At 56.5% G+C, this 23,034-nt stretch overlaps 2 protein-coding genes, 2 long non-coding RNA genes and 2 pseudogenes across 5 annotated transcripts, besides 8 other annotated features; 3 read left to right on the plus strand and 3 right to left on the minus strand.

Moving 5' to 3' along the window:
* Positions 1-1,054: 1,054 nt before the first annotated feature.
* A1BG (alpha-1-B glycoprotein) lies at positions 1,055-9,364 on the minus strand. The gene is made up of 8 exons (NM_130786.4): positions 9,276-9,364; positions 9,164-9,199; positions 8,800-9,069; positions 8,155-8,427; positions 7,263-7,559; positions 6,242-6,523; positions 3,225-3,512; positions 1,055-2,901 (listed from the first exon to the last, which is right to left on the minus strand). The coding sequence occupies exons 1-8, from the start codon at positions 9,307-9,309 to the stop codon at positions 2,894-2,896; spliced, it is 1,488 nt and encodes a 495-aa protein (NP_570602.2). The 5' UTR covers positions 9,310-9,364; the 3' UTR covers positions 1,055-2,893.
* Positions 2,666-3,166: an enhancer, noted in NCBI's record as "H3K4me1 hESC enhancer chr19:58858160-58858660 (GRCh37/hg19 assembly coordinates)". NCBI's record gives its function as "activates a minimal SCP1, AML or CMV promoter by ChIP-STARR-seq in naive H9 embryonic stem cells {active_cell/tissue: H9 hESC(naive)}" and the evidence as "EXISTENCE:reporter gene assay evidence [ECO:0000049][PMID:30033119]".
* Positions 2,834-3,113: an enhancer, noted in NCBI's record as "active region_15185". NCBI's record gives its function as "activates an Ori minimal core promoter by ATAC-STARR-seq in GM12878 lymphoblastoid cells {active_cell/tissue: GM12878}" and the evidence as "EXISTENCE:reporter gene assay evidence [ECO:0000049][PMID:35858748]".
* Positions 3,167-3,667: an enhancer, noted in NCBI's record as "H3K4me1 hESC enhancer chr19:58858661-58859161 (GRCh37/hg19 assembly coordinates)". NCBI's record gives its function as "activates a minimal SCP1, AML or CMV promoter by ChIP-STARR-seq in naive H9 embryonic stem cells {active_cell/tissue: H9 hESC(naive)}" and the evidence as "EXISTENCE:reporter gene assay evidence [ECO:0000049][PMID:30033119]".
* Positions 3,167-3,693: a biological region, named in NCBI's record as "H3K4me1 hESC enhancer GRCh37_chr19:58858661-58859161".
* Positions 3,364-3,693: a silencer, noted in NCBI's record as "silent region_11080". NCBI's record gives its function as "represses an Ori minimal core promoter by ATAC-STARR-seq in GM12878 lymphoblastoid cells {active_cell/tissue: GM12878}" and the evidence as "EXISTENCE:reporter gene assay evidence [ECO:0000049][PMID:35858748]".
* Positions 3,884-3,963: an enhancer, noted in NCBI's record as "active region_15186". NCBI's record gives its function as "activates an Ori minimal core promoter by ATAC-STARR-seq in GM12878 lymphoblastoid cells {active_cell/tissue: GM12878}" and the evidence as "EXISTENCE:reporter gene assay evidence [ECO:0000049][PMID:35858748]".
* Positions 7,842-11,055, plus strand: A1BG-AS1 (A1BG antisense RNA 1). The gene is made up of 4 exons (NR_015380.2): positions 7,842-8,916; positions 9,251-9,346; positions 9,586-9,729; positions 10,241-11,055. It is a non-coding gene; the product is annotated as an A1BG antisense RNA 1 (long non-coding RNA).
* ZNF497 (zinc finger protein 497) lies at positions 10,229-18,623 on the minus strand. 2 transcript variants are annotated; one of them, NM_198458.3, is made up of 3 exons: positions 18,549-18,623; positions 14,361-14,457; positions 10,229-13,521 (listed from the first exon to the last, which is right to left on the minus strand). In NM_198458.3, the coding sequence occupies exon 3, from the start codon at positions 13,505-13,507 to the stop codon at positions 12,011-12,013; it is 1,497 nt and encodes a 498-aa protein (NP_940860.2). In that variant the 5' UTR covers positions 13,508-13,521; positions 14,361-14,457; positions 18,549-18,623; the 3' UTR covers positions 10,229-12,010. The 2 variants fall into 2 exon arrangements, with proteins under 2 accessions (NP_940860.2, NP_001193938.1); NM_001207009.2 differs by lacking the exon at positions 14,361-14,457.
* Positions 13,921-15,111, minus strand: LOC100419840 (zinc finger protein 446 pseudogene; annotated as a pseudogene).
* Positions 17,910-18,458: an enhancer, noted in NCBI's record as "H3K27ac-H3K4me1 hESC enhancer chr19:58873404-58873952 (GRCh37/hg19 assembly coordinates)". NCBI's record gives its function as "activates a minimal SCP1, AML or CMV promoter by ChIP-STARR-seq in naive H9 embryonic stem cells {active_cell/tissue: H9 hESC(naive)}" and the evidence as "EXISTENCE:reporter gene assay evidence [ECO:0000049][PMID:30033119]".
* Positions 18,188-18,317: an enhancer, noted in NCBI's record as "active region_15187". NCBI's record gives its function as "activates an Ori minimal core promoter by ATAC-STARR-seq in GM12878 lymphoblastoid cells {active_cell/tissue: GM12878}" and the evidence as "EXISTENCE:reporter gene assay evidence [ECO:0000049][PMID:35858748]".
* ZNF497-AS1 (ZNF497 antisense RNA 1) lies at positions 18,498-22,450 on the plus strand. Its single transcript, NR_136527.1, has 3 exons — positions 18,498-18,624; positions 20,408-20,471; positions 21,906-22,450. It is a non-coding gene; the product is annotated as a ZNF497 antisense RNA 1 (long non-coding RNA).
* Positions 19,370-19,444, plus strand: RNA5SP473 (RNA, 5S ribosomal pseudogene 473; annotated as a pseudogene).
* Positions 22,451-23,034: the final 584 nt, after the last annotated feature.

Raw genomic sequence — 23,034 nt, forward strand, 5'->3', positions numbered from 1 at the left:
AGCACTTTGGGAGGCTGAGGTGGGCGGATCCCAAGGGCAGGAGATGGAGACCATCCTGGCTAACATGTTGAAACCCCATCTCTACTAAAAATACAAAAAAATTAGCTGGGCGTGGTGGTGGGCTCCTGTAATCCCAGCTACTTGGGAGACTGAGGCAGGAGAATGGCATGAACCTGGGAGGCAGAGCTTGCAGTGAGCCGAGATCACGCCACTGCACTCCAGCCTGGGCGACAGAGCAAGACTCTGTCTCAAAAAAAAAAAAAAAAAAAGAAAAAAAATGTGGCTGGAGGCCAGGTGCAGTGTAATCCTAGCACTTTGGGAGGCTGAGGTGGACAGACCACTTGAGCTCAGGAGTTTGAGACCAACATGGCGAAATACTGTCTCTACTAAAGATACAAAAAATGACCGGGTGCGGTGGCTCACGCCAGTACTTTGGGAGGCTGAGGCGGTTGGGATCACAAGGTCAGGAGTTTGAGACCAGCCTGGACAGCATGGTGAAACCCCATCTCTACTAAAAATACAAAAAACTAGCCGGGCATGCTGGTGGGTGCCTGTAGTACCAGCTACTCCGGAGGCTGAGGCAGGAGAATTGCTTGAACCTGGCAGGCGGAGGTTGCAGTGAGCCGAGATCACACCACTGCACTCCAGCCTGGGCAACAGAGTGAGATTCGGGAAAAAAAAAAAAAAAGCAAAAGCAAACAAACAAAACTCAATAGTAAGAAAACAAACAGGCCAGGCACGGTGGCTCATGCCTGTAGTCCCAACACTTTGGAAGGCTGAGGCAGGTGGATCACTTGAGGTCAGGAGTTGAAGACCAGTGTGGCCAACATGGTGAAACCCCCTCTCCACTAAATATACAAAAATCAGCCAGTGTGGTGGCACATGCCTGTAATCCCAGCTACACAGGAGGCTGAGGGAGTTGAATCGCTTGAACCTGGGCGGCGGAAGTTGCAGTGAGCTGAAATCATGCCACTGCACCCCAGCCTGGGCAACAGAGCATGACTCTCTCAAAAAGAAAGAAAAGAGAAGAAAAAAGAAAAGAGAAGAAAAAAGAAAACAACCCAATATTTTAAAGTGTGCAAAATATATAAACAGACATTTCATCAAAGATGCTATATAGATGGCAACTAAGCACTTGGGGAAAAAATGCTTAACATCATCAGACATTAAGGAAACGCAAGGAAAACCACTATTAGATATGTCTACATACCTATTAGAATGGCTAAAATAAACTTTTTAAAAAACTAAGCTGGGGCTGGGCGTGGTGGCTCACCCCTGTAATCCCAGCACTTTGGGAGGCTGAGGCGGGTGGATCACTTGAGCTCAGGAGTTGGAGACCAGCCTGGCCACCCAACAAGGTGAAACCCCATCTCTACTAAAAACATAAAAATTAGCTGGGTGTGGTGGTGGGTGCCTGTCAGCCCAGCTACTCAGGAGGCTGAGGCACGAGAATCACTTGAACCCAGGAGGTAGAGGTTGCTGTGAGCCAAGATCACGCCATTGCACTCCAGCCTGGGCAACAAGAGCAAAATTCTGTCTCAAAAACAAATAAACAAGAAAAGGTTTTAAAAATTGATAAACCACTAGCAAGAAAGAGAGAGAGGACACATCAGGCTTGAGAGAAGTGACATCATCATAGACTGTGCAGACATTAAAAGGCATAGGCATATTAGGAACTAGATATTACTAAGGCAGTAAACCAGATCACTAGCAAATTCGTTGAAAAACACAATTCATCAACTATTGGTTGATAATACTGATACGCATCTTCTGTGTGCCAGGGCCTTGAGGCCCTGCTCCAGGCAGAAACTCGGCAGTGGTTGGGAAGGCATCAGATGTCAGATGGCACAAGAGGACTCAGAGCTGAGGGATAATGGGAAAGAACACAGAGGAATCCAGCCATTTCCACAGCGTCCAGCTCTGCTGTGGGAGGCTGGGAACAGCCCAGCACTACCACCCTGGACTGGGAGGACAAGACCACAAAATGCAGCTTCCCTGAACCTCCTCTTGGTGATGGGGTTGATGTGGTCGAGGTAGAGGTGAGTATGTCTGGAGCCTCAAGCAACTGCCCATACCTGCTGGGACCAGGCCGAGGTGCCCAGGGAGTAAGAGGCAGCATCCTGGAAGAGCACAGATGAAAGAGGCCCTGAGAAGTGTTGGTTGGCCAGGTGCTGTGGCTCACACCTGTAATCCCAACACTTTGGGAGGCTGAGGCGGGAGGATCACTTGAGCCCAAGAGTTCAAGACCAGCCTGGGCAACATAGTGAGACTCATCTCTACAAAAAATAAATAATAGAAAGAAAAATGTGAGTTGGCCAGGCATGGTGGCTCATGCCTGTAGTCCCAGCTACTCAGGAGGCTGAGGTGGGAGGATCACTTAAGGCCAGGAGTTCAAGACAAGCTTGGGCAACACAGTGAGACCCTGTCTACAAAAAATAATAATTAGCCAGACGTGGCGATGCATGCCCAGGCTCCCAGCTACTTGGGAGGCTGAGGCAGGAGGATCGCTTGAGCCTGGGAGGTCAAAACTGCAGTGAGCCGGACTGCAACACTGCACTCCAGCCTGGGTGACAGTGTGAGACCCTGTCTCAAAAAAGAAAAAAGAAAAGAAAACTGTGCTCTTAAGAGCCAGTTCTCCACTCCTCTACCTCAGGAGCCACCCCAGAACCCATCCACTTTGAGGACACGAGATCCCAGCCCACTCAGCCCTGGGAGTCCAAAGACATTTTAAACAGAGCCTCTCTTCACATTTATTAATTCCTGGGAGGAATGAGGGAGGCTTCTCCAGCCCCCCAGAGACCCCGGCCTTGTGCTGCAACAGGAGGGGAGGGAGCCAGTCCAGAATCCCCGGCACTTCTGAGGACACCAACAGCACCCTGGGCCCGCGGCTGCATCAGCTTTCTAGACAACGGGAGAAAAGAGAAATGGTGGAGGAGGGGAAATCCTATGCCCTCCTCCTCGCGGAAATCAAGGCCGACCTCCCTGACGCCCCCCCGGAAGGAAGCGCGTGGTCGGCTGCCAGCCGAGACCCCCATCTGCGCCTCCAGCTGCAGGGCCTTTGCTGGGCGGTTCCTCGCCCGCAATTCCCCCACGAGCCCTGGGGAGACCCAGCGCTAACCAGGGGTGCCCAAGGGAGGAGCCGGGAGAGGCCCTCCTGGAGGTGGGCACAGCCCAGGCAAACATCAGCAGACGGAACCAGCACCCGGGACCCAGGGAAACGTCACCTGCCACCAGGAGCTCCACAGGGTCGCTGAGCTCCGATTCGAAGGTGTGGGGCACCCAGGAGCGGTAGCGGCACCTGTAGTTGCCGGCGTGCTGGGGCCCCACGAAGATCAGCTCGAGGTTCGCCGCGGCCCCGGGGGTGCGGACCGTCTTCACGGCCTTCGTCTCGCCCTCGCGCAGCAGCTCGAAGGTGACGTCGGGGATGGGTCCCTCGCAGCGCAGGACGGCATCTCGGCCCGCCAGGACCGCCCCACTCCACGTCGCCCGGAGCTGAGGCCTGGGAGGGGGTCCTGGGCGGAGCGGGCGGGTGGTCGGGCCAGGCCACGCCCCAGGCCACGCCCCAGGCCACACCCCAGGCCACACCCCAGGCCGCGCCCGCGCCTGCGCCTCAGCCCCGGCTTCATCTTCCCTGTCTTGTTCCTGGGCGCAGAGGGCTCCTCCGGCGCCGCCGAGCTGCGCCCGCTGCCTTCACACCCCGGACATCCGCGCCACACGTGAGTGTCCCCGCACCCCTCCCCCAGGACCGTGGAAGTCCCAGATTCGGGCCTGCTCTGGGGCTTCTGGGGTCCCCAGCCTCGGTCACTCTGACGGGTGAAGGGAAGAAGAAATGATGGAGAAAACGGTGCTCCTTCATGGAGGGACCAAAAAAGGACATACAATCTATGTCAATAGATGAGGGTTTTCCCTCCATAAGTTTAACTTTAAAAGTGTATTTAAGGTGCCGGGCGCAGTGGCTCACACCTGTAATCTCAGCACTTTGAGAGGCCGAGGCAGGCGGATTGCCTGAGCTCAGGAGTTCCAGACCAGCCTGGGTAACACGGTGAAACCCCGTCTCTACTAAAATACAAAAAATTAGCCGGGCGTGGCAGCGTGCGCCTGTAATCCCAGCTACTCGGGAGGTGGAGGCAGGAAAATTGCTTGAACCTGGGAGGCAGAGGTTTCAGTGAGCCAAGATTGCGCCACTGCACTCCAGCCCGGGTGACAGAGTGACACTCCGTCTCAAAAACAAACAAACAAAACAAAACTGTAAGGAATCAAATGTTACAAAATCCTGGAAGATTTTGGTAATGCTGTTGATAATTTCAGGGAAATTAATGAAGTACATGTAAGTGCTTGATTTAAATGTGTATTTTATTCAATAGTTTGAGTATCTTGCCATGGAAGATACTAGCCCAGCCTAGCAGAAAAGTGCAATATGTATAATATACTTTCGCATTTTAAAAGTTATATTCCCTATCCATTTTGAAATGCTAGCCAAACTACATGAAGTTATTTGCAATTAATTGTAAGCTAATCAGGAATTTTGAAAGCTTGATTGGATTAACAAACTATAATGTTGAAATTTGGTAAAATCATAATGTTAATTTTTACTGTGAAACGTTTTCTTGTAAGATAGATATACACATCCTAGTTTAATTTTGTGTCTTAGTGTGGATTTACAAATTTACTACAGTTATTCTGAGCCCAGGAACCCAATCAGATTTCAGGCCAGTTTGATACTGGCTGTTCTTAATTCTAACAGGAGAGTAGGACATCATACTAAATGTTATGTCAGTGGGACTGTGTTGTCTTTGGAGCTTAGTAAATTAATCATTTTCTTCAGACTTTAAGGAGAGTGATAAATAAAATTTGGAGTCATAGGATATAGATGTACAATTTAAAGATTAAACATTTTTTTTTTTTTTGAGATGGAGTTTTGCTCTTGTTGCCCAGGCTGGAATGCAGTGGCATGACCTGGACTCACTGCAAACTCCACCTCCCGGGTTAAAGCAATTCTCCTGCCTCAGCCTCCCAAGTGGCTGGGATTACAGGCATGTGCCACCACAGCTGGCTAATTTTGTATTTTTAGTAGAGACAGGGTTTCTCCATGTTGGCCAGGCTGCTCTTGAACTCCTGATTTTGTGATCCACCCGCCTTGGCCTCCCAAAGTGCTGTGATTACAGGCGTGAGCCACCTTGCCTGGCCAAGATTAAACATTTTTCATCAATTGTGGATGGTGGCTTATAACACTGCAAGAATAGGCTGGGCATGGTGACTCACAAGTGTAATCCCAGCACTTTGGGAGGCAGAGGCGGGCAGATCACAAGGTCAGGAGGTCAAGACCAGCCCAGCCAACATAGCAAAACCCGGTCTCTACTAAAAATACGAAAATTAGGTGGGCATGGTGGCATGCGCCTCTAATACCAGCTACTCAGGAGGCTGAGGCAGGAGAACTGCCTGAACCCAGAAGGCGAAAGTTGCAGTGAGCTGAGACTGCACCACTGCACTCCGGCCTGCAAGAATAAAAGTAAGTTATCCAAAAAAAAAACAAAAAGGAGAAGAAAAGGGAGGAATGAAGGAGAGAGATGGGGTTGGGGGGCAGAGATGAGAGAGAGAGAAAGAAGAAAAAAGAAGAAAGAAAAGAGAGAAAGAAGGAAGGAAGAAAGAAAGAAGGAAAGAGAAAGAAAGAAAGAGGAAGGAAGGCAGGAAAGAAAAGAAAGAAAGTGAAAGAAAAGAGAAAACGGTGCTCCCAGCAAAGGGTACGACCTCAAGATCTGGAGGTCAGACCTGTGCCCTCACGCTCTGCTGGGCTCTGAGTCCTGGAGACGTCGATGAGGAAATCAGAGGGACAAACAGAGCTGGGGACGGCGGGGATGGGGAGAAGGACACATCAGCCGTGCGCCTGCGGGACCGGGGCCGGGGCGGGGGGTCCAGTATGACGACTGACATGGCCAGTAATAAAACAAGGCAGCCACAGAGCTGCAGGGATCTGAACAAGAAAACCTGGGGCCAGCCTCCCTGCTGCCGACCACCACGCTACACGTGACCTACGGGCTTGCGTCCGTGGGAAATAAGCCGAAATTCCAGGCGTCCCCAGACCCTCGACCACCGATCGCCTGCTCCCCGCCGGGGTAGGCGATGGGGGCTGAACCAAGGCCCAGAGCGCCGCCGTCGGACGCCCAAGGAAAGAGGGGAAAGACAGGAGGCCCCGAGGGGCACTGAACCCGCGCCCGCCCTCGCTGGTGCCCCGCCAGCTCACCGTCCACGTGCAGCTCCAAGCGCTCGCTGGGCGCGGAGCCCCCGAAAGGCGGCTTCAGGTCCACGTAGACGCAGCTGTAGTTGGCGGAGTCAGCCACGGAAATGTTGTGCAGCTCGAAGAGCGCCTCGGTCCCAGCGGGGCTCTGGAAACGGTGCACGCGGCGCCCGCCCCTGTCCTCGCGCACCAGGGCGAAGCGCGCGCCCTCCAGGGGCGCCAGGCACCGCAGCCGCAAGGCCCTGCCGGACTCCGGCTCCGGGGAGAACTCCGGCGCGGGCAGCGTCTCTGCGGAGCAGCACACGGGCTGACCCGGGCGCCCAGCGGCTGGCTCGGCCCTAACGCGTGGTCTGGCCTCGCGCTCTTTGCCTTGGCTGAGTCTTCTGCCCGCAATGACCTGGCCAGCTTCCTCCCTCGCCTCCTCCGGGCCCGCCCCACCTTTGCATCCCAGTCCTTGGATATCTCACACGCACCCTTTCACTGTTTCTTAGTAATTTGTTTGTCTACAGACACAGACGGGAAGCGGGGACGGGGACATGTTTTGTGCATGGCTTGATGCCTGGTGCACGATGCCGCTCAGTAGTGGATTTGCTCCACGAGCGTCTTCTGAGCACCGCCCCAATGCCCGCCCCACGGAGGGGCCCCTGTGGTCCGCTGGGCATGGGGTTCGCTGTCCGGTGCTCAGAGTTTGCTAAATACCATCAGGTCCAAGGCAAGCGAGCGGAGGAGCTGCCTCAGCAGAGGCCCTCAGTGCTCACCTAGACCTGGCAGCTGGGATGGGACCTGCCAGGTGGTGCCCCCTGTGGCCTGGGCCAGACCTGTTCACCCAGTTATTCCCTGTGGGGCCTGAAGGTTGTCACGCTCATCATCATATTTGCAGTTTAGGACCCTGAATCGGCGGGTGGGCGGATAAAGTTGGTATTGGACCCTGGCCCAGAGCACTGCACTTCCCCAGACTCTACACCTGGTACTGCTCCTGCTCCCCAGGGACCCAGCCGCGTCCCTGTCCCTGCTGGCCCCGGCTCACCATCGCTCAGAATCAGCTCGACCGGCGCGCTGTCCCCGGACCAGCCGTTTTGGTTGTCATGCAGCCGGTAGCGGCAGGTGTAGTGACCTCCATCCCCCAGGGCCACCGCGTTCAGGTGAAAGAAGATGCGATCTGGGCTGGTGCTGCTCCTGGGTACCAGCAGCTCTTTCTCCCCGCGCCGTAGCTGGAAGTCCACTCCACTCAGGGGAGCCACGCAGGTGAGGGTCACCTTGTTGCCAGGGTGCAGGACCTGGGAGGACTCTCCATGGTGCATCAGCACAGGCGGTGGTGGTGCAGCTGCAATGCAGGCAGCATTACTAGGCTGCCCCATCCCTGGAGCTGCCCTCTGCCCAGTCCCCAGACCTCTGCCCTCCGGGTGGCAATCCCAGGAACACCCTTCCATTCTTTTTTTTTTTTTTTTTTGAAACGGAGTTTCGCTCTTGTTGCCCAGGCTGGAGTGCAGTGGCGCCACTCAGCTCACTGCAAGCTCTGCCTCCCAGGTTCAAGGGATTCTCCTGCCTCAGCCTCCTGAGTAGCTGGTACTACAGGCACCTGCCACCACACCTGGCTAATTTTTGTATTTTTAGTAGAGACGGGGTTTCGTCATGTTGGGTAGACTGGTCTCGATCTCTTGACCTCATGATCCGCTGGCCTCAGCCTCCCAAAGTGCTGGGATTATAGGCGTGAGCCACCGCACCCGGCCTCACCCTTCCATTCTTTGGGCATCCTCTGCCCAAACTCCTTTGCAACCATCAGACCCAGGCAACCGTGTGGCCAGCTTCCTGGACCTGGTCCTGGGCAAGGACATTCAGCATGGAGGTCAGGATGAATGTGGTCATGCCCCCTGTATCCTCCTCCCCCAGCAGCCCCCAGAGATGGTTCCCACAGTCACCGAGCTCCTCAATGGTCACAGTAGCGCTGGGCTCAGAGAGGGCGCCTTCCCCATCGGTCCGGTAGCTGCAGCTGTAGTTGCCAGGCTGATGGACTGGAAAGGTGGCCTCCACATCCTCCTGGGCCTCAGGCACCTCCAGAAACTCATGGTCGCCCTCCCGCCTCAGCAGAAAAGTCACACCCCGCAGCACACCTCGGCACACTGCTGTTGTTTTCAGGCCGGGGGTGATCCAGGACACTGGCGCCATCGAGAGCCAGGGAGCAGGCAAGGACTCTGTGGGTGGGGTGGAGTTGAAGAGTGCTTCTGCATAACAGGAGACGTGGGAAGCCCAGCAGAACCTGGGCCCCACACTCATAAGACTGTGAAGGAGACAGGGATGGAGGGCATTGCTGGGAAAAGGCAGGCAGGCACCAGTGGAAACAAGGCATACGGCAAGAGAAAAAGAGTGTGTGGGAGCTGTACGGCATGCCGGGCCTGCTGGGGACACAACCATGTATTCCTTACAACACAGACATCATCCCCATTTGACAGATGGGAAGATTGGGGCTTGGGGCTCAGAGACATCGGGTGACTTGGAGGAAGGGAGACCCCCCAGTCAACAACCTACCCACTGCCTCCTGGCCCCCAATTCATGCCCCGGCTCACTTGGCCCTGTCAGCTCCAGGAGCTTGCTCAGCTGGGTCCATCCTGTGGACAAGCCCGAGCGGCAGCGGTAGCGGCCCTGGGTGTCACCCGTCAGCAGGAACTGGTGCTTGATGGCAGGTGAGTCAAGGTGCACAGGCTCCTGGGCCACCCCATTCTTGAACAGCTGGAAGTCTGGAGTCTCCAGGTGGGCCTGGCACGTCAGCGTCACATTGGCCAAGGGTTTCAGCAGTGATTCGGACTCTGCCCACAGGCTGGGCTGCGTCTCATAAACTGCAAGGGGTGGCTGGGATCAGCTCAGTGCCACAGAGACAGGGCTCCCCCCCGGCCTGGGCCCACCATTCCCAGACCTCACCCCTGCACTCACATATGGCTGCTTCTGTCACTGGGCCCCAGGTGACACCTGCGGAGACAGCCCCCGTAAGGCTCCTGTTCCCGCCCCCTCCCGCCCCAGGGACCCAGACCCCAGGAGGCCTCACCCCACAGCAAGAGAAAGACCACGAGCATGGACATGATGGTCGCGCTCACTCCGGTGCAGTGAGTGTCTGGGGTGAGCGTCTGCAGCAATGAGGCCCCAAGGGAGGGCGGTGGGGTGGCTCGGGCACTGACCTCTTCCCGTGTTTGTCCTTCCCGGAAGGCGGGGGCAGGGCCCCCATGGGGTCAGGGCAAAGGGTGAACTTCTGAGGCCTCAGGATGCCCAGCAACAATTATAATCAATAATCATGTATGATTAATAAACTAAATCAAGAGTGATAAAATGATGTTAAAACCACCTCATCCTCATTTCAGTGATGGATCCTAGAACCTGTTCTAGAAGGAGACGCTGAGTTCTCCCCACTCTACCTGGAGCTGCTGAGGTCAAGTGGAGAGTGCCGGGGCTGAAGCCCAGCGAGCCCCTCCCTGTCACACCACACTGCACATGTGACACCAAAGGTGGGGTTCACCTCTTTTCAGACTTTCTGCGGTTGCCCTCACATGGGCTGTCTGGAGGTGCACCCTCACTCTTCCTGAGGACTGTGGTTCCTTCTCCATCACTGGTTCATTCTGCATGGTGTGACCCACCACGGCTCTGGAGTCGGATTTCCACCCAGGTCATTCAGCTGAGACCTGCGCTTCCCAGGCCTACCCGTGACATGTGCTCAGTTACCTGAGCTGCTGGTGGTCACTCATGTGGCTATAGCCTGCTGCCTGGAGGCCAGGCCTCCCGCTTCCCCTGCCTCCCCCTCTCCTCACCACAGCCTGTTGGGATGGAACAGGACAGGGGTGAGACCGTGGTGCTTTCACACTCAGCCTCCATGGACATCCTGTCATTCCCACCCGGGGAGGTCTGGTCCCCACCCTGGGTGTCCCAGCCTAGCTCCGCTACGAGTGTGAGGGCCCAGGGCAACCGCCTAGCCCTCATCTGCCCCCTGCACTGCATCCTCCCCACTCATTCATTCCACAGGCATTTATTGAGCATCTACTGTGTGCCAGATGCAAAGAAGACAGTGGGATAACTGGGCAAGGAGCATTCCAGGCAGAGGGAACAGCCAGTGCAAACATGGGAGATGCGGGTGCAGTGAGAAGGAGCAGAGGAGACCAGGAGTTGAGGCGACTGCAGAGCGATTGCAGAGCTCATAGACGTGATGAAGACCAGCTGGGCACTGCAGCGGCTCTGGCTTCTGCTGTGAGGGACGGGGAGCTGTGGAGACTCCCTCTGTTTGGTCCCATTTCCATATTGCTGAGCACCTGCTGCATGCTCTCTGTCCTGCTCAGAGCCAGTACCTGGATGGAGGCTGTGTGTTCTGGGTGGACTGGGGGAGAATGCATTCTTTGCAGAAGAGACAACCAGGTGCTGAGGCCTGAAGTCATAACCAGACCTGGGGCACTCAGACAAGGACTGGTGGCCAGGCCAGAGGAGCAGAGCTCAGGGTGTGCACAGAACTCAGAAGTCAGACCACTGAACAGTGACAGAACCTTTCAGCCCATTGGCAATGAGGCTGCCCAGGCAGCCAGAGGCCTGGTCAAATCTGAGGTCTGCAGAGATGGAGCTGTCATTCTGTGTTTCCTTTGGCAGTCCCAACACCAGCCTCGTTGCACCCTCCTCTTAGCTTCCCTGGGTTCTCCAGCCCTAAGGGTGGTAGCAGCTTCCTGCAAGTATCCAGCTCTGAGATTCTGCAACATCCACTTTTGCTCTCTGAGCCTTGCAAAACCTGCACAATCAGTCCCTAACTTATATCCCCTCTGTTTGAAATACCTAGTGTGGTTTCTATTTCCTGACTTGACTCTGACTGGTGTGGTACTTGGTATAAAGAAGGTTCCCTGGCCAGGTGCGGTGGCTCACGCCTATAATCCCAACGCTTTGGGAGGCTGAGGCAGGAGGATCACTTGAGCCCAGGAGTTTTGAGACCCGCCTAGGCAACATGGTGAGACACTGTCCTTACAAAAAATTTTAAAATTAGCCAGGTGTAGTGACGCAAGTCTGTCATCCCAGCTGCTTGGGAGGCTGAGGTGGGAGGATCACCTGAGCCTAAGAAGTCGCGGCTGCAATAAACAGTGATTGCACCACTGCACTCCAGCCTGGGTGACAGAGTGAAACCCTGCCCCCTCCCCCAAAAAAGAAAAGTCCCATGAAACAGACCTACACAGGTGAGATTCTGAGATTGATCTGGTTCTGACCTCGGTCAGGAATGCAGTGCTGAGCTTCTTGCCAACAGAATATGAGACACTAGAAAGCCATAGCATGCGGTTTCATCATGTTTAACTGTCACCTGTGGTTGCCTGAGATGAAGTGCTGACTGAAGCGAGCACCTTAGGAGACACAGTGGCCACTGCACTGAGCAGCTGGTAGCAGCAGTGGTGACCATGTGGACTGGGGGGTGGGTTGGCTGCTTTTGACAGTGCCAGAGAACTCAAAGAAATAGCCACACCTGTCGGAGACCCCAGTTCTTGCCCACCTCTGCATGGACGAACCTCTCGCCGAAGTGGAGCCTGCCGCCCTCCCTGGGGTAAGAGCCCATCCTACATGTCCCCAGACAGGCCTGGGTGGCCGGTGGACTATCGTCAAAGGGACTGTGCAGCCAGGGTTCTCCACACCCAAGGCCGCCCCTGCACTCCCAGCAGGAGGGCGCCCGCACCGGCGGCCCGAAAAAGTCTGGGCCAGCAGACAGCGCACTCACGCCCGAGACCCCGCAATGCCGTGTGTCCGCGACCTCCCGCTCAGGGCGTCCTCGGGTCAGGGCGCAGCGCGGCCCCCGTGCCGCTTCTGGTGCTCGTTGAGGTTGCAACGGTGGCTGAAAGGCTTCCCGCACTCGCCGCAAGCGTAGGGCCTCTCGCCCGTGTGCGTGCGCCGGTGGCTTAAGAGCTCCGACTTGCGCACGAAGGCCTTGCTGCAGTGGGCGCAGACGAACGGCCTCTCGCCAGAGTGCAGGCGCTGGTGCTGGCGCAGCTCGGAGCTGCCGCGGAAGGCCTTGCCGCATTCTGCGCAGGCGAAGGGTCGCTCTCCCGTGTGCGAAAGCCGGTGGTGCGCCAGGCCGGAACTGCCGCGGAAGGCCTTGCCGCAGTCGGCGCAGGCGAAGGGCTTGGCGCCCGAGTGCGTGCGCCGGTGGCTCAGTAGGTTGGAGCGCTGGCTGAAGGCCTTGCCGCACTGGGCGCACGCATGAGGCTTCTCGCCCGTGTGCACGCGCCGGTGCTCCGCCAGGTAGGAGCCCATGACGAAAGCCTGGCCGCACTCGGCGCACTCGAAGGGCCGCTCACCAGTGTGCGTGCGCTGGTGCTGCAGGAGCTGCGAGCTCTCGCGGAAAGCCTTTCCGCACTCGGCGCAGGGGAAGGGCTTCTCGCTGCTGTGCGTGCGCCGGTGCTGCCGCAGCCCCGCCACACGCACGAAGGCCTTGCCGCAGTCGGGACAGGCGTGTGGCCGTGCGCCCGCGTGGATCTTCAGGTGCTCGGCCAGGTTGGAGCTCTGGCTGAAGGCCTTGCCACAGTCCCGGCAGGCGTGCGGCCGCGCGCCCGTGTGCACGCGCCGGTGCTCCAGGAAATTGGAGTTCCAGCTGAAGGCCTTGCCGCACTCCGGGCACTCGTAGGGCTTCTCGCCCGTGTGCGTGCGTCGGTGCTGCACCAGCGTGGTGCTTCGGCCGAAGGACTTGCCGCAGTCCGGGCAGCGGAAGGGCTTCAGGCCGCTGTGTGTCTCCTGGTGGTGGATGAGCTGCGAGTGCGCGCGGAAGGCCTTGCCGCACTCCCTGCAAGCGTAGGGCTTCTCGCCGCTGTGGATGCGCTGGTGCTGGCTGAGGTTGGAGCTCCAGGCGAAGGCCTTGCCGCACTCGGGGCACGTGTACGGCTTCTCGCCTGTGTGCACGCGCCGATGCTGCAGCAAGTAAGAGCCCTGGCTGAACGCCTTGCCGCACTCCCCGCACCGGCAGCCCGGCTCCTCTGGGAGAGGCGAAGGGCGCAACGCCCGGTCTGCAGGCTCGCTCCTGGGCCCAGCCCCGTCCCGCCCACCGTCTGCGGGGCCCAGCTCCCTGCCGGGGCCTCCCTGTTCGTCCGCCGCCCCCAGTGTGGCTTGCTGCCGCTGGCCGTCCCCTGCCTCCCTCGGAACCTCCGTGGAGTTTTCCCAGGCCCCCCAGCCTCCAGACACAGCCCCCTCAGAGAGGCCCCTCGTGGCAGTCTTCACATTGCAGAGGACCTGGCCTTCCTCTGGGGCCACCTGCAGGGTCCACCCTCTTGGGGACTCCATCTCGCGCCTGTGACCTAAAACAGGAGAGAAAAGGCAAGTACCTTAGAGAATACAAAGAACACCAGACAGAGGGCCTGAGGGGGACACGACGGTGGGTGGGCTGTCATCCCCCACTCTTCTCCTCCAGGTCCCTGGATGCCCAATGCCCTCTGGAGCCTGGAGCAGGAAGGCCAGCAGGCGGGCTAGACACTCGGGGGATGGGCCAGCACTCTGGGCCTGCCTGACAGGGCCACGTGCACATCCCCACACCCGGCCCGGCCCAGCAGGAGGGGAGGGGGCGCCAGCATCGCAGAAGGACTCAAAGTTGCCCACGCACCTGCACTGGCCCTACTGTGGCACCACTCTCCTCTCCTTGCTTCACAGGGTGGGGCCCCAAGTGTCAAGAAGGTGGAGACTCCAGTTTGTGAGGAACACGATGGACCCGTCTCCATTCCTGAAGGCTGGAGGACACCGCCTGACCCAAACACAGCTATGTCTGCCTCACCCACTCCACCCTGGCCGGATCCCTGGGTAGTCCCCTCCACACAGTATGGGCAGCATGTCCAGGCTGGAGGATCTCAGTGGCTGTTACCCAGGCAATGTCCACACCAGGCCTCTGTGCAGGTCAGACCAGGTGGTCCAAGGCATGGGGTGGCTGTGCAGCCCAGATCCCTGAGAGAGAGAGAGGCCAAGGGTGGGAGGGCCTCCTTGGTCCTAAGGCCATGCCTGCCTGTCCAGCCGATCCTTCCCACAGCGAAGTCTCTACAGCGAGCAAAACCCATCCTCATTTGCCCTGAGCACCTTATCATCCTTGTGTAGTCTCCAGCCCCGCTGCCAAGGCAGGGCAGGGACAAGTGTGTAGATGGTGCCATACCTGGAGGTGGGGCCTGGAAGGGGCCCAGGGGAGCCTCTTGCTCCTCTCCCTCCTCTGTCCTGGGGACCAGCTCCTCTTGGGGCCTGGGGGCTGGCACCTGGGGACAGGAAGGCAGCAGGGCAGGGTGAGGTGTTCAGCCTAGCAGATCTGAGAAAACAAGGGGCATGCGGTGGCATGACCCACCCTTCTCTGCACCTTCAGTTCTCAGGACACAATGCGGAGCACACAGGTGTGGACTGGAGATCTCTGACTCTGCCGTCCAAGCCAAGACCACCAAACTCCCACCTGTCACCATCACTTTCCCACAGCCCCCAGGCCCTCTCAGCCACCAACCCACGACTGGCCCCAGTGCTGGCTCAGCTGGGGTCGTGAGCAGGGGAAGCACACCCAGCCCCCAGACCAGCCCCCACTCATCTGGAGTCCTGGCCCAGCTGACTCCTGCTGTAGCCGCTCTGCCAGGGCAGTGGCCTCCTCAGGGCTGCCTAGCCACTGCTCCTGCGTGTAGGCCTGGATCTCTGGGAGCAGTGTGCCCAATAACTGCTCCAGCACCAAGAGCTCCAGCATCTGCTCCTTGGAGCAGGCCTCAGGCATCAGCCACTGGCAACACAGCTCACGCAGCTGAGCCAGGGCCCCTCGGGGCCCTGCTGCCTTCTCATAGCAGAACCCCCAGAAGCACTGGCCAGGGCTCTTGGAGCTGGGCTCACCCACCATCAGTTCCAGTGGACTCGGGAAGACCTGGGGGGCCAGGGCTGATGCCTCACTCATCTGGGCAGCCATCCTGCCCCTTTCCTGGGAGGGGAGTGCAGCTGCATGGCCCAGGGTACTTTCTCTGCAGCTGGAAACACAAAGGTGAGCCTGTGAGCACAGCAAGGCCACGAAGGTCCCCTCCTTGGGACCACCTGAGACTGAGTAAAAATGGAAGAATGGGGGTATCGGCGTTTCTGGCCCCCAGTGTCAGCATCTTTGCCCACCTGTGTGTCCAGGTGCCTGAGGGACACACTGAGGTGCCATGGCTGCTTGTACCATCCCTTCCCCCCGCCTCCCCGCTTTTCTTGAGGGTCCCTGCCCTGCCCTGTCTCCTTGGCACCCTTCATCCCACACACAGAACAACTAAGACAGAGACTGTGAACAGGACACCCAGAGTCAGACCAGCAGATGGGTCCTGTTTGTCCCCTCCAGGAAGTGTTTTAAAAATTTAAGTTAGGCCAAGTGCGGTGGCTGACGGCTGTAGTCCTAGCACTTTGGGAGGCCGAGGTGGGTGGATCACGAGGTCAGCAATTCCAAGACCAGCCTGGCCAACATGGTGAAACCCCGTCTCTACTAAAAATACAAAAATTAGCCAGGCGTGGTGGCAGGCGCCTGTAATCCCAGCTACTCGGGAGGCTGAGGCAGAGAACTGCTTGAACCCGGGAGGTGGAGGTTGCAGTGAGCCGAGATCGCGCCACTGCACTCCAGCCTGGGTGACAAAGTGAGACTCTGTCTCAAAAAAAAAAAAAAGAGAATAAATACTGATACATACTACAAGATGGATGAATCTTGAAAATATTATGCTAAGTGTAAATGAAAAAATTCAGACACAAAAGACTTCATATTATGTTATTCCATTTATGTGAAATGTCCAGAACAGATAAGTCTGTAAGAGACAGAAAGTAGATCAGCGGTTGCCAGGATCTGCAGGGAAGAGAGAAATGGGAGATACAGCCGTGGGAGTGATGAAAATATTCTGGAATTAGTGGTGATGACTGTGCAACACTGAATATACCAAAAACCACTGAATTACACACTTTAAAAGGATGAATTGTATGGTATTTATGTTTTTTAAAAAAGTTACCACCCAATCCCAAAAGCTTAAAAACTGTATGACTCCATTTCTTTTTCTTTTTCTTTTTTTTTTTCTTTTGACAGGGTCTGGCTCTGTCATCCAGGCTAGGGTGCAGTGGTGCAATCTCATCTCCCAGGCTCAAGCCATCTTCCCACCTCAGCCTCCGAAGGAGCTGGGACATCAAGTGCGTGCCACCATACCCAGCTAATTTTTTTATTTTTTATTTTTCTATTTTTGAGACGGAGTTTCGCTCTTTCACCCAGGCTGGAATGAAGTGGCGCAATCTCGGCTCACTGCAACCTCTGCCCCCAGGATTCAAGCGATTCTCCTGCCTCAGCCTCCCCAGTAGCTGGGATTACAGATGCCTGCCATCAGGCCTGGCTTATTTTATTTTATTTTATTTTATTTTTTAGTAGAGATGGGGTTTCACCATGTTGGCCAGGCTGGTCCCGAACTCTTTTTTTTTTTTTTTTTTTTTTTTTTTTTTTTTGAGAAGAGTCTTGCTCTGTCGCCCAGGCTGGAGTCCAGTGGCGCTATCCTGGCTCACTGCAAGCTCTGCCTCCCGGGTTCATACCATTCTCCTGCCTCAGCCTCCCAAGTAGCTGGGACTACAGGCGCCTGCCACCATGCCCGGCTAATTTTTTTATATTTTTGGTAGAGCCGGGGTTTCACCGTGTTAGCCAGGATGGTCTCGATCTCCTGACCTCGTGATCCGCCCGCCTCAGCCTCCCAAAGTGCTGGGATTACAGGCGTGAGCCACGGCACCCGGCCGGTGGGCCGGTCCTGAACTCTTGACCTCAGATGGTCCACCCGCCTCGGCCTCCCAAAGTGCTAGTATTACAGGCGCGAGACACCTCGCCCAGCCTATGCAACATTCGTAAAATGACAAAATGGTAGAAATGAGAACAGATTACTAGTTGACAAAAAGAGGTTAACGGGGAGCAGAGGTAGGAGGGAAGGGTATGCGGCTCTGTAAGGGCAACACGGGGATCCTTCGTGATGGAAATATTCTGCATCTCAGTTGTGATATTGTACTCTAGTTTTTCTTTCTCTTCTCTTTTTTTGAGACAGAGTCTCGCTCTGTTGCCCAGGTTGGAGTGCAGTGGCGTGATGTGGGCTCACCGCGACCTCCGCCTCCTGGGTACAAGCGATTCTCCTGCCTGAGACTCCCGAGTAGCTGGGATTACAGGCACCAGCCTCCACACCCGCCTAATTTTTGTGTTTTCAGTACAGATGGGGTTTCACCATGTTGCTCAGGCTGGTCTTTAACTCCTGAGCTCAAGGGATCCACCCGCCTTGGCCTCCCAAAGTGCTGGGATTACAGACATGAGCCACCGCACCTGGCCTCTAGTTTTTCAAGATGCCACCTTTAGGGGAATTGGGTAAAGCGTACATAGGGTATGCATTACTTGTTACTGCATGTGAATTTATAATTACCTCAAATCAAAAGTTAAATTTTAAAAAAACGACATCTGATTTCAATAAAAATCCATATTTGTGTATTGAAGTATCAGAAATCCGGGTCCCCCAAGGGCCCATGTTTCTTAAGGCGGAGCCAGGCACCGCTGCCCCTCCATCCTGTGGTGTGCGACCCCGACCCGCCAGCCCCCAGCCGCATCTATCAGGGCTGCCGTCCTGAGTCCGTCCTCGTCGTGGGATAGCATGTGAGCCCCGTAAGGTCCTTCCTGTCGGCCTCACTGCTCCAGCCTCCCCGACGTCCTCACGTCCACGCTGCGTGCCCTTTCTGAGCCTCAACGCCTCCTCCTCACCTCGACATGATCAGAGCCACCTCCCGCGTCAGTCCCAGCGCCCACGCCCCCAACAACGGGCACTTGTCCGACCAGTCACGGGTACTTGTGTCTCCCCCACAACCCCCAAGGCCTAGGCTGGACAAACAAATACGGAGTGGATAAAGGGGAGGAAGCTGCGGCCAGGTGGCGCGAGGCCTGTGCGGGCAGCTCCGGAGGCTGGGAGGCGAGCCCAGCCTGGTGAGCTCCGAAACTACCCGGGGCTGGGGACTGATGAACGAATAAATGAATGTGGGAAGAAATGATGGCGCGGCAGGGCATGAGTGAATGAGTGAAAGAATAAACGAGCAGGAGGAACGATGCCACAGAACTGATCGCCATAAGGCTCGCGTTCACCGAGAGAACAGCAAACGGGAGCCATTTCCGTCCCGACCACGGTCGCCTCTGGCCCGTGCAGGGCCACTTCCGGGCCGCTCTGGACGGCGCGGAGGCCTATCTCTCGGTGGTCCCAGAGGGCCCAGCTCAGGGCCGAGGCCCGTCCTGCCCCGCGCGGCGGGAGTGGTTGGAGCCGGAGGGCGGATCTGTGCCTGGCCGAGGGTGTCCGTCGGCGTCACTCACCGTCCTCGGCCCGCCTCTGCGTCCACTAGGAGCGGCCTGAAAGAGGCCCGCACGCGGGCTCGAGCCGCGTGGAATGGTAGGAGGGCGGGCACCGGGTCTCCTGGGGGCGCGGTTGCATTCGGCAGAGCGGCCCAAGGCGTCGCGTTTCTCCCCACTGCGCCTGCGTAACTATGCCGCGGCTGCGGGCGCGCGCCTTCTGGTTCCCATGGGGACGGCGCCACAGCCAAGCTACTCGGGCGTCCTGCGTTGCCATGGATGCGCTCCGCCCCTTCCTGCACCCGGCCAGCCTCTGCGGCACACACCCAACAGCTACACAGGCGCCTGGGGCTGCCCGGGTCGCGGACGCAAGTCGGGCCAACGTAGCTTCTCCCTGGCGGTCCTCCTCCGGCCCCAGGCCGTCTTTACCACCCTGGAACCTTGCTGAGTTGACGCCACTGAGCTGCGTCTCACACCCACGCGCTGTGGAACACCCACCAAGCTGGAATCCACGCGGTTTTTAAAATAGAGTCGGGGGCCGGGCGCGGTGACTCACGCCTGTAATCCCAGCACTTTGGGAGGTCGAGGCGGGCGGATCACGAGGTCAGGAGATCGAGACCATCCTGGCTAACACGGAGAAACCCCGTCTCTACTAAAAATACAAAAAATTAGCCGGGCGTGGTGGCGGGCGCCTGTAGTCCCAGCTACTCGGGAGGCTGAGGCAGGAGAATCGCTTGAACCTGGGAGGCGGAGCTTGCAGTGAGCCGAGATCGCGACACTGCACTCCAGCCTGGGGCGACAGAACGAGACTCCGTCTCAAAAAAAAAAAAAAAAAATTGAGTCGGGATCTCAGAAGCTAAGCAGGGTCGGGCCTGGTTAGTACTTGGGAGACCGTCTGGGAACACCGAGTGCTGTTGGCTAAAATAAATAAATAAACCGGGCGCGGTGGCTCACGCCTGTAATCCCAGAACTTTGGGAGGCCGAGGCGGGCAGATCACGAGGTCAGGAGTTCGAGACCAGCCTGACCAACATGGTGAAACCCCGTCTCTACTGAAAATACAAAAATTAGGCTTGTTGGCGTGTGCCTATAATCCCAGCTACTCGGGAGGCTGAGGCAGGAGAATCGCTTGAACCGGGGAGGCAGAAGTTACAGTGAGCTGAGGTCGTGCCACTGCACACTCCAGCCTGGGTGACAGAGCAAGACTCCGTCTCAAAAAACAACATAGACCAGATGCTGTAAGCTAAAATAAATGAATAGCTAGAGACGGGGTCTCGCTATATGGCCCAGGCTGGTCTTGAACTTCTGGGCTCAAGTGATCCTCCCACCTTGGCCTCCCAAAGTGCTAGGATTACAGACCCGAGCCACTGCACCCGGCCTCCACGAGCTCTTTTTGTACCAATTTTTCCCAATTTGTACTAGGGAGCTCTCACCTCAGCCCAGGTGGTTTGGGCAGGTGTGGGTACATGGCCCAGGTCCACAGCACAGGGCAGTCCATCCCTCTGGCCCTGGCAGTGGTCACTTTGGACCTGTGAGCATCGTGGGACTTCTCTCTGAACTGTTAGGGCCTCTATCTGCTTTGAACCTGAGGCTGTGAGCATCTGTCAGCTGGGGCAGCTGCAGCCTTCTTGCCCCGCTGAAGGATGAATCTGTTAAGAGAATGGAGTCCATACAGAAAAGCAGAACTGAGGGATGGTGTGTTAGTTTCCTGTGGTTATGCAGCAAATTACCACAAATTTGGTGGCTTAAAACAGCAGAAATATATTCCCGCCCAGTTCTGGGGACCAGAAGTCTAACATCGATATGACTGAGCTGAAACAAGATGTTGACAGGGCTGAGCTCCCTCTGGAAGCTCTAACGTAGAACCTTTCCTTGCCTTTTTCAGCACCTAGAGCTGCATTCCATGTATTCCTTGGCTTTTCGTCCTTTCCTCCATCATCAAGTAACTGGTAACATCTTACTATTTCTCTCATTAAGTTAAAATATTTAACATATGTTCATTTTATCTTATTTGCATGAGAGTCAATTTTAGCTTTAAAAAAATTTTTATTGGCCGGGTGGGGTGGCTCAGGCCTGTAATCCCAGCAATTTGGGAGGTGGAGGTGGGCGGATCACCTGAGGTCAGGAGTTCGAGACCAGCCTGACCAACATGGTGAAACCCCGTCTTTACTAAAAATACAAAAATTAGCCGTGTGTGGTACATACCTGTAATCCCAGCTACTTGGGAGACTGAGGCAGGAGAATCGCATGAACCTGGGAGGCAGAGGTTGCAGTGAGCTGAGATCATGCCACTGCACTCCAACCTGGGCAACAGAGCGAGACTCCGTCTCAAGAAAAAAAAAAGGGGGGGAGGCCTGGGCGCAGTGGCTCACGCCTGTAATCCCAACACTTGGGAGGCTGAGGCGGGGGGATCACGAGGTCAAGAGATCGAGACCATCCTAGCCAACATGGTGAAACCCTGTCTCTACCAAAAATACAAAAATTAGCCAGGCGTGGTGGTGTGCGCCTGTAGTCTTGGATCACCCATGCTGGAAGAATTCAGCTGCCCGGACATGAGGAAACTCAGGTCTGCAGTCCTGTGGAGAGGCAGTGGAGCAGTGCATACTCCAAGCCCAGTGGGGCCTTCAGATGATTGCAGTCTTGGCTGCCATGTTGACTTCAACCTCGTGAGAGGCCTTGAGCCAGAACCACAGGCCAAGCTGGTCACGAATTCCCCACCCCCAGAAAATGTTTGCGATGATAAATGTTTATTTATTTATTTATTTATTTTTGAGAAAGTCTTGCTCTCTCACCTAGGCTGGAGTGCAGCGGCGCGATCTCAGCTCATTGCAACCTCTGCCTCCCAGGTTCAAGGGATTCTTGTGCCTCAGCCTCCCAAGTAGCTGGGATTACAGGCACATGCCACCATGCCCGGCTAATTTTTGTATTTTTAGTAGAAACGGGGTTTTGCCATGTTGCCCAGGCTGTTCTGGAACTCCTGAGCTCAAGCCATCCGCCCAACTCAGCCTCCCAAAGCACTGGGATTACAGGCCTGAGCCACCACGCTTGGCCTGGAGCATGCCCTTGATGTGCAAACTAACCAATCCAGAGCCTCACCCCTCTACCTGGTCCACACACCGCAGGAGACAGTATTCCTCTGTCTTAATCATCCCCGGAACAGGAGCCAAGCAGCTGGGGAACACTCCCACAGCTGAAAGCCCACAGGAATTACTCCAGCTAGCCAGTCCTGTGCTGTAGGCTCTGCTCTGCCTTGCTTTTCCCTTGGAAACCCCAGTAAAGGCTCTGGCTTAGAGCTCCCCCTTGGTCCTGCCCCTGCTGCCTCTGACAGATGCTGGTGCTTTTCTCATGTGTCCTTCCTTGTGGGCCGTGCCTCCTGTTTCCAGGATCTGTGAGCATGATGAACTTTGTTTTCCTGAGCTTGTCCTGTGTCTCCTCTTCTGGCCACACCTGACTGAGCAGAACATAAAAGCGACAGAACACCAGGAGGGCTGCTGCTTGGGGAAATTGTGTGAGAAGAGTCCTGGGGGACTAGGGGCAGGGCAAGCACTGCTCTCCCTCTCCTGGAGGCTGGGGAGAGCATCAAGGAGACTACCAGGTAGGAGGAACCATGGGCAGGGCCTCCCTCATCAGGATGCTTTCCCCACAACAGAGGGATTTAAGCCCCTGGTGGGTGAGTCCTGGATTAACCAAGACCTGAGCCTTTTGGGGGGTGCAGAGGACAGAGGACACTGTGAGGTGAGTTTCTCCTGGGTGGATTCCCCAGGGGCCTCTGAGGCTGGTTTCAGGCCCTGCCCTTTGGCTGCCCCACTGGAAGCTCTGAGCATCTACCCTTCAGGGACGCTTTCCCTGGTCTGACCTTGGCAAGGGCAAATAAGAGGTACTCCATGGAGGGTCACCAAGGTCTGGGGCGTAAACGGTGCCCATCTGCACAGTAGCATGAGGGCCACAGAGTGTGGTAAATGTCAGTGACCATCACATGCGGTCCCCAGTGTGGCTGCAGGGGCCACTTAGGATTCTTCTGTTCGGGGTCCCAGGCCACACTTGGGGAACCCTATTGGAAGCAACAAGGTCTAGGCCCTGAGGGCCCAGGGCTCTGCCCTCTCCAGGGCTCTAGCTGAGCCACGTGCAAGCATCCTCCCGGCCCTCCCAGCTGGTGTGAGGAGGAAACCACAGCCAAAGGGCAAGGTGCTCCACACAGATATGTCCCTAGTCAGCCTGCCCCATTCGGCCTCTGGAGTGGGAGCCTTGGGTCTGTCTGGAACCAGTGTGGATGAAATGCAGGGAGAAACTGGAATCATAGCCATGGACAGCCACTCACATAGCTGGGAAGAGGCATGCTGTGGTAGATCCCGGTGGACTCTCACCTCTGCGGTGCTGGGGACGTTGTGCCGACACCTCAGGCACCCACTTCCACTCACACCGCGGAGGCTTGGGGAGATGCGGTTCAGTCTGGAGTCCAGCGGGGGGCGACAATAAAGGCGACCCCGCTCGTCAGTCAGACCAGGGCAAGCT

Source organism: Homo sapiens, chromosome 19, assembly GCF_000001405.40.
Source record: "Homo sapiens chromosome 19, GRCh38.p14 Primary Assembly".
NCBI lineage: Eukaryota > Metazoa > Chordata > Mammalia > Primates > Hominidae > Homo > Homo sapiens.

Bases quoted from the DNA above. Each gene is read 5' to 3' on its own strand.
- ZNF497 (NM_001207009.2), bottom strand. From the start codon at position 13,507: ATGGAGTCCCCAAGAGGGTGGACCCTGCAGGTGGCCCCAGAGGAAGGC.
- A1BG (NM_130786.4), bottom strand. From the start codon at position 9,309: ATGTCCATGCTCGTGGTCTTTCTCTTGCTGTGGG. The intron at 8,428-8,799 runs GTGAGCCGGGGC...CCCCACCCACAG, and splicing joins CCTGGAGCTGACAGGGCCAA to AGTCCTTGCCTGCTCCCTGG. The intron at 7,560-8,154 runs GTGACTGTGGGA...CCTGCATTGCAG, and splicing joins TGTGACCATTGAGGAGCTCG to CTGCACCACCACCGCCTGTG.